The following is a 15532-nucleotide window of genomic DNA, read 5'->3' on the forward strand; positions in this document are numbered from 1 at the left end:
ATTTGAGTAGCAGCCTTTAAAAGGAGGAAGTGGAGAGCTGGGTGCGGGGGCTTCTGGGATTTGTAGCTCCTCTGCTGCCCTGATGTCCCTAGACTTCTCAGTGGCAACAACTCATCCATTCAGGAGCTCCATGTAACCACTGGGTAGGCGTGGGAGAAGGGGGGCTCCGAGGGCAACCTCGGAGGGCACCCTGGCTTGAGAAACGTCAGTGGTTGGAGTAAGAGGGATGCGGAAGGGAGCAGTGGGGCGGGGCCGCTTTTGCTAGGGATCATGGAGAGGAGACAGAACAACAGACTGTGCCCTCTGACTGCCCCTGAAGGCTAGGCCCTGCCACAGGAGCTGTGCTAGTGGCCCTGCTCACTCGCCCTTTGCGGGTGGGTAGATTAGAATTTCCTTCTCCAACAGCTCAGAAGAGCTAAGTCAACAGCCCATTGTTTGCTGTGGCTGTAATCAGAAAAGGATTCCTATGAAGGCTGCCAAGTGGCTACTGCCCACTTTTTGTTTACTCTTAATATCCACCTGCTTCCCAAAGTGATCTGCTCCTCCCAACCTTGGGCTGCACTGGGGAAGGGCGGTCGCTAGGGTGGGGAGGGGGCGAGCCCCAGAACCCATAGGGCAGAGCATAGTGGCTCCATGTATAGGACACAGTGAAAGAGATGGGGGTGGCATTTTCTTCCAGGAGAGTTGTGGGGAGATGACCGTTAGGTCATAAGCGCGCCCCTACTCTGCACTGGCGAGACCAGCAAAGCTGGAGTGAACCCAGCTGAACCTGGGCCGCAGCAGCCCCGGAGGCTGGAGGCGCTGCAGTCGGGAAACACCAGGAGGATGGAGCCCTTTTCCCTGTAAGCAGGAGGCCAGGATCCTGATTCCTGAGCCGGCTTCCCACGGACCCCAGGCCCCGGCAGGGTCCTGGCGGGAGGAAGAACCCACGGAGTGAGTGGGGTGTCAGCAAAGCGGGGCCGCAGGGCAGGTTCTGGAAGCCTCTCCGCGTGGCTGGGCTGGAGTGTGCAGACGTGGGAGAGCCCGGAATGGGGAGCGCGTGGCCGGTGGAGGCCCGAGGCTGTGCTTCCGTCGCTGGCTCTGAGGCAGAGGTCCAGGCCGGCAGGCTGCCCAGGTGGTCCTGTCTCAGAGCTCTCCGGGGCGCAGAGGCGCGGGAAGCGGGGAAGGGCCGGGCAGCGAGACGGGTGTCCCCAGCAGGAGGTCGGGGACCCGTCGCGCGTTCCGTCGGGGCCGCCTGCGGTGCAGGGGTCAGAGACCAGCCACGCGAGCAAGAGGGAGCCCGGCCAGAACTGCTGAGAGCCCCCAGCGGAGCTGGGACTCAGGGGCTCCTTGCGTTTAGCCACCAAGAGTGGGGGCAGGCTGCGGGGTGCCGGGGAGAAGCCAGATCTCACTCATTTTACACCGACTAATTAGATCCCGCCGCCCACCTGGGACCACGGCATTGTCATGTCCGCTGCACTGACGGGGAAATTGAGGCACGGGGGCGAGTAAGGCGGGAGAGGGAGTCGGCGCCGCCGAGCTGGGGCGAGCCCCGCACCCACCCGTACACTCGGCCTCTGCCCCTGCTCTGTGCGTGGGCTCCTGCTCTGTGCGTGGCCTCGCCGCCGAGCTGGGGTGAGCCCCGCACCCACCCGTACACCCGGCCTCTGCTCCTGCTCTTTGCGTGGCCTCCTGCTCTGTGCGTGGCCTCTGCTCCTGCTGCGTGCACTGCGGCATCTCGGGAAACCGGGCTGGGCTCCTCTGTCCTCTGGAAGCTACTGTAAGTTTTAGATAAATGTTACTACTAGACACGAGGAAAGTGAGTCCATGATTACTGGCATTGAACAAATGGTTGCACCGCGTTCTCCGTGGTAGGTGGAGTGTGTGATTGTGAGAGGGGAATGGACACTGAATCCTTACCTACACAAATGCCTAAACTCGTAAGGCATTACGACACACCCATCTGAAAATCTAATTAAGCGGTAGGAATTCTAATGGTCCGGGATCCAAATGAGACCCAGCCACTTAACAGTTAGCAGCCTTCAGTTTTGTCCTGTTGCCCGTAATTACCCCAAGGTCAGGGAGAAGCACTGAAGCAAAGGCATGAACATCACTTTGAAAAAGAAAGGAGTTAATGGGTGCAGCACACCAACATGGCTCATGTATACATATGTAACAAACCTGCACGTTGTGCACATGTACACTAGAACTTAAAGTATTATATATATATATATATATATATATGAAAGAAACCTGCCTGGGGCACTCCTTCCTTCAGACTCCCCTTGAAAGTATTCCCTCATTTCATTCAAAAGGATTTAACTTTTCTAAACTAAGTGGTGCTGGTAGAATATGCTACCTGATTTACGTGTTGCTGTAATTCTTGAAGCTCTTCCAAGACATCTTGGCCTTCCTCTGTTCCCTCCCCTTCCTGCTATTTTGCAGACATATCCACTGGGGAATTGTATGGCAGGAAGGCTGATTTTATTTAGCTGGCCCTTGATTCTTGGTTTGCACAGTATCTGGGTCCAGCCTGCAGCCCTAGGGTCCAGGTAAGTTCATCAGGAAAGGATTTCTTTACATTCAATTTAAGCCATCTAGGTCCTAAAACAACGCTTATATTATCTGTGGGATAATCCTGCTTAGTTATTTGCAAAATAGTCAGATGTCTATACAGTTTTGGGTAGGAAAGGGGTAAGCCGCTTTCAAAATTCATTCTTGAGGAAGAGGCTAAAGAGGAGATAAAAGCAGATTTTGAAATTCTTCTGCTGGAACTCTGCAATTGGCTGGGAGGAGAGAGAAAAACCATAGAATAAGTCATAAGAATAGTGGGCTTTTTTTCTTTTTTTCAGATGTAGTCTTGCTCTGTCGCCCAGGCTGGAGTGCAGTGTCATGATTTCAGCTCACTGCAACCTCGCCTCCCGGGTTCAAGCAATTATCTGCCTCAGTCTCCCGAGTAGCTGGGATTACAGACATGGGCCACCACACCCTGCTAATTTTTGTATTGTTAGTAGAGATGGGGTTCCACCATCTTGGCCAGGCTGCTCTTGAACTCCTGACCTTATGATCCAACCGCTTTGGCCTCCCAAAGTGCTGGGATTTTTTTTGAGACAGAGTCTCACTCTGTTGTCCAGACTGGAGTGCAGTGGCAGGATCTCAGCTCACTGCAAGCTCCGCCTCCCGGGTTCACACCATTCTTCTGCCTCAGCCTCCTGAGTAGCTGGGACTACAGGAGCCTGCCACCGCGCCTGGCTACTTTTTTTTTTTTTTTTGTATTTTTAGTAGAAACGGGGTTTCACTGTGGTCTCGATCTCCTGACCTCGTGATCCGCCTGCCTCGGCCTCCCAAAGTGCTGGGATTACAGGCATGAGCCACCACGCCCGGCCTATGATGGATCTTTTTAAGAGAGCTTTCTAGAGAAGCTTATAGATTATTTTGCACAAATTTTAATGTGTACTTTTTTTTCCTGATCAGGTTCATCATATTCAGATTGTACACATTTTCATTTTTATGGCTATGCTAATTTACAGTGCAGGAAAAAAATAACTGTCAAGATATGTTGAAGAAGGCTGGGCGCGGTGGCTCACACCTGTAATCCCAGCACTTTGGGAGGCTGAGGCGGGTGGATCATGAGGTCAGGAGATCAAGACCATCCTGGCTAACAAGGTGAAACCCCGTCTCTACTAAAAAACAAAAAATTAGCCAGGCGTGGTGGTGGGCGCCTGTAGTCCCAGCTACGCGGGAGGCTGAGGCAGGAGAATGGCGTGAACCCAGGAGGCAGAGCTTGCAGTGAGCCGAGATCGCGCCACTGCACTCCAGCCTGGGCAACAGAGCGAGGCTCTGTCTCAAAAAAAAAAAAAAAAAAAAAAGATATGTTGAAGAAATGTATAAAGTGTGTAATATAGAGAGTGCATGGAAGACAATATATTCGATGAAGGCAGCCTAGAGCTATTTTGACTCTTAGATCGTCAGATCCGGGAGGGCATTCGTCCTTTCCAGTGCATGCAGGAGGAAGCTGAGGCTCTGAGGTTTGGAAACCCAGGAGATATCACTCAGCTGATTTCTAGCAGGTTTACATTAAATCTTAGTTTTGGAGAGTTAAGAATCTTGAGGAGTGATAACCTTGGCTGTAGAATTAAGGATATGATGTTCTTGGAGAAAATTAATCAGGAAGAGGGCACTGGGTGACCATTTATCAAGAGATTCTTTAGCAAAGGACAGATATAGGTAAAGAATCGGAGAATGAGTCAGAAATAAGTGAACTAAATAAGAACACTATTTTGGGGGGACTAAAAAACATTAACTTCAAAGTTATTTGCAGTCTGTGTCCCTTTGCCCTGACCATGCCAGTATGTCTGGCTCATGCGGTCACAGCATTCTGCAGAATGATGGCCTCTATTCTCTATACATACATATGATATCAATGTATAGAGATCTTGTCTTGATTTGTCCAAGGCAGTGACTGTTGTCGCTTTTTACATATATTACTGGGAGGGTTGTATGCCCAGTGAGTCCCCAGCAGCTGTCACTCTGGCTGACTACAGATGTCTGCAAGCCTCCTCACTTCTGAAGAGCGGCCGCACCTTGGGCAGCGCATGCCTTGAATTAGGATGTGGGCTCAGCTGTGTGTCAAGACCCCAAATAACAGTGGCTTATGCAAGATAGAAGTCTATTTCTGTTTCATATGCTTATGTCAAAGATGTGCTGGCAGGTCTGGTCTGTGGAGTCATCTGAGGCCAGGGGTTTTTCTATCCCCAAATTGTTGCCCTCCTTCAAGGAGTCCCACATGGTTCACCATGCCATGCACACCCCCCCACAGGAAGCGGGAAAGGGCACCCCCTTACCCTTTAAGGCCGGTCATTGCACACAATTACACGTCTCACTTTTGCTCATCCCCATGGCCCGTAATCTAGCTCATGGTCATACCCAGGCTGCAAGGGAGGCTAGGGAGTGCAGTCTATCATGGGCCCCTAGAAGCCCAGCTAAAATTTCTATTACTCTGGATGAAGGTGAGAAGGGGTGTTGGAGATTACTAGCAACTCCACGAAAGCACTGACAAGGATCAGAGTTGATACCCAGTCACCTTCCCAAGTGATGGTCCACACACAGTTGGAACCAGGATAGTATTTCTTGCATGCCTGCATTGATTCATTCAACAAATACTTGACTGAAAATAAGGAAGTAGAAAAATGCAGTCACCATCTTCATAAAGCTCTAACCCAGGTTGGTGCCTACTAAGTGATCATTAGTCTAGGTGTGGTGTACAGAGTAAGTGGGGACTGGGGAGGACAGTAATTCAGATGAGAGAGAGAGTGGATGATTGCAGGGAAAGATGGGAGACAGAAGAGGCTCCTAGCTCTAGTGCCTTCTGGGAAAAGACCAGACCCAGAAATTAAAAGTCAAGAGTGTAACTGTAGTTGAACTAATGAAACTGAGGGTCCAACCCATAGCTTTGTGAGAGGCACAAATGTAATTTTTTATTTTTCAAAATAACATTAATATAATTTCTTCTATATTCCTTGTGCAAATCCTCAACCTTCTACATTAAAGAAGAGGCTAAATAGGAGGTATAAACTTGCTAAAATTTCTTATTAAAAAATAGTGCCAAGCGGCCGTGTGCAGTGACTCACACCTGTAATCCCAGCACTTTGGGAGGCCGAGGTGGGCGAATCACAAGGTCAGGAAATCGAGACCATCCTGGCTAACATGGTGAAACCCCGTCTCTACTAAAATACAAAAAATTACCCGGGCATGGTAGTGGGTGCCTGTAGTCCCAGCTACTCGGGAGGCTGAGGCAGGAGAATGGTGCGAACCCGGGAGGCAGAGCTTGCAGTGAGCCAAGATCGCGCCACTGCACTCCAGCCTGGGCGACAGAGCGAGACTCTATCTCAAAAAAAAAAAAAAAGAAAAAAAAAATAGTGCCAACCTAGGTGGTGACCACGTCTCTAATCCCAGCTATTCAGAAGGCTGAGGCAGGAGGACCACTTAAGCCTAGAAGTTCGAGTCCAGCCTGGGCAACATTCATGAGACTGTATCTCTATAAACAAACAAACAAACAAACAAATAAAACAGAAATAGTGGCACAACTTACTTTGCTACGTATTTGGGAGAACGCATATTAGTTAATCAAAATCATTTGCTGAAGGTTGTCTACATGCTGTATAAACAAGCTAGATAGACTCTACCTACATCAAATATGCAAAACTAGTGAAATAATTACAGAAGAGTAACCATTTGCTTCCAGGCTGGCTTCTTCTTCCCTGGAGAGCAAATTGGAGTTTATCCTAACCTGACACCTTTATGATCTTCTGATCATTTTATTCCTGGAATAGTTGTACTCCACATTTTGAAAAGTTAAAATGAAAATTATAGAACCCTCAACAAAGTTTGGTTGATGGAATTTCGATTTGACTGCTTCCGGCCACTTCTGAGTTTAGCAAAGGAGGCTCGTGTATATTCTTCATGGAATTTGGCTCCAAGAAAACTCAACTCAATTTCCTGGAATGGAGCGAATTTGTGACTTCGAAGGGAAGCATCTGCATTTCCTTTCCCAAAAATACTCCATTTGCATTAGACTGCTCCCTGTGACATTTCCACCAGATGGCAATACAGTCTTTGGATGACAGAGAGTCTTGCTGGTTTTCAAAATCTCTAGAAATATTTGTGTAGGCACTATAAAAAAGCATTTTTTATAAATGAAAAGCTCCCATAACTGCCCCCCATTCTAAAGCAACCATCTTTATTTGCATATATTCACTTTGAGTTTTTGTCAATATTCATACAGTCGTAAGTACATTTATAATGTGCATGGCATTTTAGTCTACTATCAAAATTCAGCACAATGTATATCATTTACATATTTCTACATGACCTTCATAATTATTGCAGCAGTTACATACTATTACACATAGTAAACCTTTCCCCTATTGTTACATAGTATGTAGTATGCACGTTTTCACCTGTTATAGATAATGCTGCAGGTAATGGCACACAATTGGCACACAGTTTTGGAACATTAGGAAGAATTTTAGGGATAGCAATACAGGGTGAAAGACATAGATGTCTTTTGCTCTTTAACTTTTCCAGAAAGATGTGCAGATTTACATGGCTATCAGCACTGTGAGAGGATCTGGGTTCTGACCAGTTGCACTATGCCCACGTTTTTGTTTTACTTCATTTTTTTAAATCCTAAAAGTCAGGTACAGGGTCTTTAGCCTGTAATACTAGCACTTTGGGAGACTGGCGGGAGGATTACTTGAGCTCAGGATTTCAAGACCAGCCTGGGCAACAGAGTGAGACCCAGTCTCTCCAAAGAAAAAAAAAAAAAGAAAGAAAGAAAAATAGGCAATGGCTCATGCCTGTAATCCCAGCACTTTGGGAGGCCAAGACAGGCAGATCACCTGAGGTCAAGAGTTTGAGACCAGCCTGGCCAGCATGGTGAAACCCCGTCTCTACTAAAAATACAAAAATTAGCTAGGCGTGGTGGTGGCGCCTGTAGTCCCAGCTACTTGAGAAGCCGAATTGCTTGAACCTGGGAGGCAGAGGCAGCAGTGAGCAGAGATCGGCCATTGCACTCCAGCTTGGGCCACAAGGGCGAAACTGCATCTCGAAAACAAAACAAAACAAAACCAAACCCAGGTGTGGTGGTGCATGCCTGTAGTCCCAGCTACTTGGGAGGTTGAAGCAAGAGAATCGCTTGAGCTGGGAGGTTGAGACTACAGTGAGCTGTGATTGCATGACTGTACTTCAGCCTGCGTGATGGAGCAAGACCTTGTCTCCAAAAATTATATATAAGGAAAGGACTTGAAAATGCATTTCTCCCGAACTAGGTGATGTTTCCGTGTGTGTGGCCCTTCTTCACAGTGGCCTCCTAGAAAAACAAGACCCTGACTCAAAGAACACCTCTCACTACAGTAAGACTTCTTGGAATGCTTTACTTTTTTAAAAATTTAATTTAATTGTTTAATGTGGTAAAAAATATATAACATAAAACGTAAAACTAACCAGCTTAACCATCTTAAGGGCACAATTCAGTGGCATTATGTACGTTCTCTTTGTTGTGCAACCATCACCACCACCCATCTCCAGAACTCTTTTAAAATCTTCCCAAACAGAAACTCTGTACCCATCAAACAACTCCCATTTCCTTCTCTCTTCACCTCTGGCAACCTCCATCCTACTTTTTCTTTATATGAGTTTGACGGCTCTAGGAACCTCTTATAGGTGAAATTATCCAGGTCTGTCTTTTTGTGACTAGCTGGTTTCACTTCGCATAATGTTCTCGAGGTCCATTCATGTTGTAACATGTGTCAGAATTTCTTCTCTTTCTAAGGCTGAAGAATATTCCATTGTATGGACCTACCACATTGCATGTATCTATTTATCCACTGAGGGACCCTTGGGTTGCTATGGAAAATAATGCAACTACGAACATGGACATCTGTTCCAGTCCTTGCTTTCAATTATTTTGTGTAGATGCACAGCAGTGGAATTGCTGGATCAGATGGTAATGCTATGTTTGCTTCACTACTTGGAATGTGCCTTTATGCATATCGTGATAAAATTTGATCTGTACGACAGTCCTGTGAGATAAGTAAGCATTGATCTCTGGTTCAGAAAAGTGATTTCTTCAAAGTGAAATGATGAACGGAAGAGTATCCTGACCTTAAACTTGGCTTTTTAAATTGCCCGTTCACCTTGAAGAGTGGTTCCAATCACAAGTGTTACCTTCCAAGGACAGTGTCATTCTGGTTATAATCAGCTTGCTCCCCTGCCCTGAGCCTTCTGTCCAAGTTTGTGCAGGTGTGGGTCTGGGGCAGGGGACAGCTCATCCATTTCCCACTGCACGGAACAGAGGCTGTGTCCAGGGCCCCAGCAACAAAGATTTCTCCTTTGGGTTTCTGTTTCCCTCTTTCAGTTCAGAGTCTGTCATCTGAACCATGAGGATCTGGTGGCTTCTGCTTGCCATTGAAATCTGCACAGGGAACATAAACTCACAGGACACCTGCAGGCAAGGGCACCCTGGAATCCCTGGGAACCCCGGTCACAATGGTCTGCCTGGAAGAGATGGACGAGACGGAGCGAAGGGTGACAAAGGCGATGCAGGTACTCACCTGACGGCTTCGGCTGCCTTTCAACTTCTCTCTTCATTCCTTTCATCTCATTCACTCATCATCTGTGTGATTTTCCACCTACCCACTCACACCCCATCCATCCATACATACATCAACCCAGCAACACTCACTGGAGCCTGACCCCATTCATCCATCCACCCATCTGCCCAGCAACACTCACGGGGTCTGCTCCATGCCAGACTCTGTGCCAGGTGCTGGTGGAGAGCACAGGGCAAGATCGCCATGACCCCTGCCCTCCTGGGTTCTCTCATCTCTGACACCGCAGAACATTTTCAGTAGTATACGATGTCATGGATCCTCCCATCTCAGGTGACAGGTATGATGGATTTTTGGCAACAAAAGGCTAATAGAGAGATCTGATCACGAATTATTTGGCAGCAAGCACCCAGCTGCAGTGCAGGTGAGAGCTAATACCGCATCATGCCATGAAGCAGGAGATGCGGAGTGACAGATGACACAAAAGGAGACGAGAATCTGAAACCATACAGCTGCTGCTTATGCATCTATATGACCTAGGTTGGGACCCTGTCCCAGGGTCTGGGGATCTGGGGGACAGGATTCAGCCTCTGGGAGGGAGATTTGCCAAAGCTGAGAAGTCCGAGTGGTTTCCATAACAACAACCAATAGACTTGGTTTCCGAATGGGGTACCATTCTTGAGGCCTGGTCTTGACCATAGGGTCACATATCTAAGGCATATGCAGAATGATCCATCTGGGTTAAGGGCACAGTTCAGTGGCATTACAAAAAAATATATCAAAACTTCTATGGACCTTTTTAAAGATAAGTTTGTGTTTCTAACACATCTCAGCTTATGGCATTTGGTGGCCTGATGATGTTTTGAGTGGGCTGGATGAAGCCAAGGGTCACCAGGAAGCAACATTCTTTCTAACCACCATCCTGCACATCTGCTCTGTGAGGTGTCTTCTCCTGGCTCACATCTCCAGCTCATTGACACTGTTCCAGTCCCCAGGTAGCAAACAGCCCAGTCCAAATGAATAGCAAAACCTTACCATTAATGAAATCAGGTCTTCTGCCCTCACACTGGGACCACAGTAGTGTGTGTGTGTGTGTGTGTGTGTGTGTGTATTGTATTTCTGAATATATAAGATTTTCATTTTTTGTTATAAAATTTTACACACAAAAGGAGATAAATAGGTGATAGATAAAAAATAGAGGACAAAGACAAACACTCCTATATTCAATACCAAATTTCTCTACCTCTTCCCTGTTGAATTTCTCTCCTCTTTTCTCACCAGTGTCCATTCTTTCAAGTTTTATATACTTCTTAGAAGCAAATTATGTATCTATTTTTCTACGTAGTTCATAGGTATTATATATAATATATATTACTTCTTAGAAGGATATTCATTCACATTGCTCACACTAAAAATTTACTTCATTTTTATCTTATCTTAAAGTGTATTTTTGTATATGTTTTATACCAAACATATTTTCCATATACTACCTGTGCATAATGTAGAAACATATAAATATCTACTGATTGGGGTCTGTGTTCATGCTTTGTGAGTTGTGGTTGCGTGATCATGAAAGCTCAGAGGCCACCGCTCTAGAGAATGGGAGAAACGAGAGCCAAGCAGGGAAACAAAAAGAGGGAAGGAGAGGAAGACACAGGGGAGCAGCCAGTGGAGGGGAGGGGAGGGGAGGGGAGCGCAGGGAGGGGCAAATGTAGGGATAAGCCCCCTCCATTCAGAGGTCCCACGCTGACCAAGGCCCCACTCAGGAGCGCTGGTGTCCCAGGAGAACAGACATCGTGACAGAAATAAGTCTGCCTGTGTCAGTCCTGTCTCAGGACCTGCAAGCCGGCCCAGCCTGCCCCTGTCGCCCCACAGCCACGTCAGTGGGTCTGAAGTATGGGAGTCTCTGCTGCTTTGTGAGAAGCCAGAGTCTGGGGTGAGCTGTGGCCCAATGAGCACTCTACTGCCATAGCCAGAGCCACCTTCAACCTGCTGACGGATAGCACGCCGACCTGGAGCTCAGGGGGGCCTGTTCTGAGCACAAGGACTTGAGTGTAGTCAGCAGAGCCCCACTCACCTGATGTTCTCTGCCAGCTTGATTGGTGGCATTTCCCCCAGTGTAAGGCACTAGAGGGATCCTTCCAGAACTCTCTCTTCTATCTTGGGATAGTGTCACGTAACCATAGTCATCTGTGTTTTCATAGGAGCCTAGTAAATCTTCCGTTCCACTCTCCTCAAGAGTAATGGAAGAGAAACAGAGTGAGGAAACCTCCTGGCACCTCCAACATTCAGACCACGTCCCAAGTCCTTGTCGCAGGAGAGGAACACAATCGTGACAGTCAGTCCCCATTGCACACACTCCCTCTTCGTCCTGTCTTGCTGTGCGCTCTAGGCACGTCCTAGAGATGGGCGCTTGGGAAGTCACTCAGTTCATTTCTTAGGTCACTTATCCCACGCAGCTCAGCACCCCAGATGCCCGCTCATGCCTGCCTCTCTCCACCTGCGCTTGTGTGGAGGACAGAGTGCCCGTCAGGGCGGGGGTCACCCCCAGACTCTCCAACACACATGGCTGATGGAGACCAATGGCCAGAAAAATCAGAAATGGAATTTCAACTCATGCCTGTTTTCTGCTTTTCCACCTAGGAGAACCAGGACGTCCTGGCAGCCCGGGGAAGGATGGGACGAGTGGAGAGAAGGGAGAACGAGGTTAGTAGTTCCTATTTATGGTGCTCTAATTCTGAGCTGTCGACTATTTAACAATATTACCATGGACAAGTCCTCCATGCTGATTATAATCTTACAATAAAGGCAACACAGTTCTTACTCTCCAGACGGGGGGATTCTGCAGGGATTGGCAGGCTTTGCAGAGGGCTGGGTAGTAAATATTCTCAACTCCGCAGGCCATACAGATCTGTCACCACTACTCAACTTCCCCTTGTAGTGAAAAGAAGCTGTAGATGCTCCATAAATAAGCATGGCTCTGTTCCAGTGACACCATATGTGTGAAGACTGAAATGGGAATTTCCCATGGTTTCCATGTATTGTGGAATATTATTTGTGACCATTTAAACATGCAAACCATGGCCGAGCACCATGGCCCACACCTGTAATCCCAACACTTTGGGAGGCCCAGGTAAGAGAATCGCTTGAACCTAGGAGTTCCAGACCACCCTGGGCAACATAGTAAGACTTTGTCTATACAAATAAAAAAAAAATTAGCTGGGCATTGTGGCACGTGCCTGTAGTCCCAGCTACCCAGGAGGCTGAGGTGGGAGGATCGCTTGAGCCTGGGAGGTTGGGGCTGCCATGAGCCATGATCTCGTCACTGCACTCCAGCCTGGGTAACAGAGTGGGTGACCCTGTCTCAAAGCAACAAAAAAACAAGCAGACAAACAAAACCCAGAAAAACAAAAAAACATGTAAACCATATTTGTTTAGCTTGCGGGAGGGAGGCTGAATTTGGCCTGTGGCTGTAGTTTGTTGAACCTTGAACCTTGCAGTGGATGAGCACTGAGGAGTGAGACTGAGTTTTTGACTTGGTGCATCTGGCAGCACTGCATGGAGGAGGTGGAACTAGAACTGGTCCCTGATGGGTCGGGATGTAGTCGTAGTGGCAAACTTGTGTAATCTTCACTTTGTGCTTTTCATGTACTGACTCACTGAATGCAATATCCCCAGACGCTAGGTAGTTTTATTACCCTAGTTCCATATGTGAGGGAACAGAGGCACGAGGCTCACTAGCTCATCTGACGTCCTGTGTGCATATGGGGACAGAATGGAAACCTGGCATTTAACCTCAGAGTCCACACTTGCAACCACGGCTCTTTGGTATGGGTGGGGGTGCAAGGAAGCAGCAAGGTTTCTGTAGATGATGAATTGCCGGTGGGATAGGTGGGTTGGGGCTGGGGTTGGGCAGGAGAGGGCAATGCCTCGATGCAGGCTTTATTTTATGTTCACTCCAGGGAGGAGGTTTTTAGAGGATGTCACGACTAGGGTTGAGTGTCAGTTAATCTACCTGTCTCTGCTCTGAAGAGTGCTTTCTGTCATGGATTGACATTATTTAATGGCCAGCATGGTAGACTTAGATGGTAGGGTTGTAATTTCTAACGTGAGCCCTGACACTAATTTAGTAGACGGTAGTCAAAAGGTGTGTTGGGATGTGTGTGTGTCCATGTGCACACACGTGTGTAATTGGAGTAATTGATTTTCATTTATTTTTATTTTTTTTGAGACAGAATCTCACTCTGTTGCCCAGGCTGCAGTGCAGTGGTTTGATCACGGATCACTGCAGCCTCAGCCTCCTGGGCTCAAGCCATCCTCCCACCTCAGCCTCCTGAGTATCTGGAACTACAGTTGTGCACCACCGCGCCTGGCTAATTTTTGTATTTTTTGCAGAGATAAGGTTTGGCCATGTTGCCTAGGCTGATCTTGAATTCCTGGACTCAAGTAGTCTGCCCACCTTGGCCTCCCAAAGTGCTAGGATTACAGGCATGAGCCACTGAGCTGGGCTGGAGTAATTGAATTTTATTTTCTTATTTTTCTTTTTCTTTTTTTTTTTTAGAGTCAGGGTATTGCTATGTTGGCCAGGTTGGTCTTGAACTCTTGGCCTCAGGCAGTCCTCCTGCCGCGGTCTCCCAAGGTGCTAGGATTACAGGTGTGAGCCACTGCACCCAGATGGAGTAATTGAATTTTAAACTCTGGGCATATACTGAACCTGTGCACTACTTTGTTTCATTTGTGAGCTCAATTATAGAAAAACCAAAGTTGTTCACAAGGGAATCTTTCACAAGCTATCTCTTTATTTGCTCTTTCTCTATTTAGGAGCAGATGGAAAAGTTGAAGCAAAAGGCATCAAAGGTGATCAAGGCTCAAGAGGATCCCCAGGAAAACATGGCCCCAAGGGGCTTGCAGGGCCCATGGGAGAGAAGGGCCTCCGAGGAGAGACTGGGCCTCAGGGGCAGAAGGGGAATAAGGGTGACGTGGGTCCCACTGGTCCTGAGGGGCCAAGGGGCAACATTGGGCCTTTGGGCCCAACTGGTTTACCGGGCCCCATGGGCCCTATTGGAAAGCCTGGTCCCAAAGGAGAAGCTGGACCCACGGGGCCCCAGGGTGAGCCAGGAGTCCGGGGAATAAGAGGCTGGAAAGGAGATCGAGGAGAGAAAGGGAAAATCGGTGAGACTCTAGTCTTGCCAAAAAGTGCTTTCACTGTGGGGCTCACGGTGCTGAGCAAGTTTCCTTCTTCAGATATGCCCATTAAATTTGATAAGATCCTGTATAACGAATTCAACCATTATGATACAGCAGCGGGGAAATTCACGTGCCACATTGCTGGGGTCTATTACTTCACCTACCACATCACTGTTTTCTCCAGAAATGTTCAGGTGTCTTTGGTCAAAAATGGAGTAAAAATACTGCACACCAAAGATGCTTACATGAGCTCTGAGGACCAGGCCTCTGGCGGCATTGTCCTGCAGCTGAAGCTCGGGGATGAGGTGTGGCTGCAGGTGACAGGAGGAGAGAGGTTCAATGGCTTGTTTGCTGATGAGGACGATGACACAACTTTCACAGGGTTCCTTCTGTTCAGCAGCCCGTGACAGAGGAGAGTTTAAAAATCCGCCACACCATCCATCAGAATCAGCTTGGGATGAACTTATTCAGATGGTTTTACTTTATTAATTCCTCCAATTATTACAATAATCATAAAAAGGTGAAAATGGAAAAGTTATTCCCAAAACTGATTCTGTGTAACTTACTATTTTTCCAGGAGTAAATATTTAAAATAGCTGCATGGTTTATTCTAATTTATTTCACATTTCTTATTCCTATTATCTGAAGAATCCCTCGTCTGTGCGTTTCTTGTGGGAAGAGTGTTTTAATATCATTTTAGTGCTCTGAGGAGTCATATGAAGATGTATCCCTCATCTGTGTTTCTGAGGACATTAAGGGGAAATTAGAGGGAAATGTTTATTCAATTTAGTACTAGCAACAGCTTTAAGCTGGTGATGCTGTCATACTCCAGAAAGCTGTAGACACTGCTCATTTTGTCTTTTAAAAAAATTTTATTTTATTTTAAGTTCTGGGATACATATGCAAAACATGCATGTTTGTTACATAGGTAAACATGTGCTGTGGTGGTTTGCTGTATCTATCAACCCATCACCTAGGTATTAAGCCCTGCATGCATTAGCTATTTGTCCTGGTGCTCTCCCTCCCACTTTGCTCATTTTCTAACCTAGGTTTTAATCACCATTTTACCCAACAAATCATTGTTCGATCATTATTTGCCAGACTTGAATCTCTATGTGTTTTCTAGGACTGCTCTAATAAAGTACACAAACTGGGAGTCTTTAAACAACAGAAATGGACTTTCTCACAGTTCTGTAGGCTGGAAGTTTGAGATCACCGTAGCAGCAGGGCCATTCTCCCTCCAAAGGGGATACAGG

At 47.2% G+C, this 15532-nt stretch overlaps 1 protein-coding gene and 1 pseudogene across 3 annotated transcripts; one reads left to right on the plus strand and one right to left on the minus strand.

The window, feature by feature from the left end:
• Positions 1-80: 80 nt before the first annotated feature.
• On the plus strand, positions 81-15446 carry C1QTNF9 (C1q and TNF related 9). Of its 3 annotated transcripts, NM_001303137.2 has the most exons (5): positions 2495-2531; positions 7809-7892; positions 8897-9084; positions 11733-11795; positions 13911-15446. In NM_001303137.2, the coding sequence occupies exons 3-5, from the start codon at positions 8919-8921 to the stop codon at positions 14681-14683; spliced, it is 1002 nt and encodes a 333-aa protein (NP_001290066.1). In that variant the 5' UTR covers positions 2495-2531; positions 7809-7892; positions 8897-8918; the 3' UTR covers positions 14684-15446. The 3 variants fall into 3 exon arrangements, with proteins under 3 accessions (NP_001290067.1, NP_001290066.1, NP_848635.2); NM_001303138.2 differs by lacking the exons at positions 2495-2531; positions 7809-7892 and adding an exon at positions 81-143; NM_178540.5 differs by lacking the exon at positions 7809-7892.
• Positions 13868-14587, minus strand: PCOTHP1 (PCOTH pseudogene 1; annotated as a pseudogene).
• Positions 15447-15532: the final 86 nt, after the last annotated feature.

The sequence above is a fragment of the Homo sapiens genome, chromosome 13 (assembly GCF_000001405.40).
Source record: "Homo sapiens chromosome 13, GRCh38.p14 Primary Assembly".
Taxonomy (NCBI): Eukaryota; Metazoa; Chordata; class Mammalia; order Primates; family Hominidae; genus Homo; species Homo sapiens.

Bases quoted from the DNA above. Each gene is read 5' to 3' on its own strand.
- C1QTNF9 (NM_001303138.2), top strand. From the start codon at position 8,919: ATGAGGATCTGGTGGCTTCTGCTTGCCATTGAAATCTGCACAGGGAAC. The intron at 9,085-11,732 runs GTACTCACCTGA...TTTTCCACCTAG, and splicing joins GGGTGACAAAGGCGATGCAG to GAGAACCAGGACGTCCTGGC. The intron at 11,796-13,910 runs GTTAGTAGTTCC...TTCTCTATTTAG, and splicing joins TGGAGAGAAGGGAGAACGAG to GAGCAGATGGAAAAGTTGAA.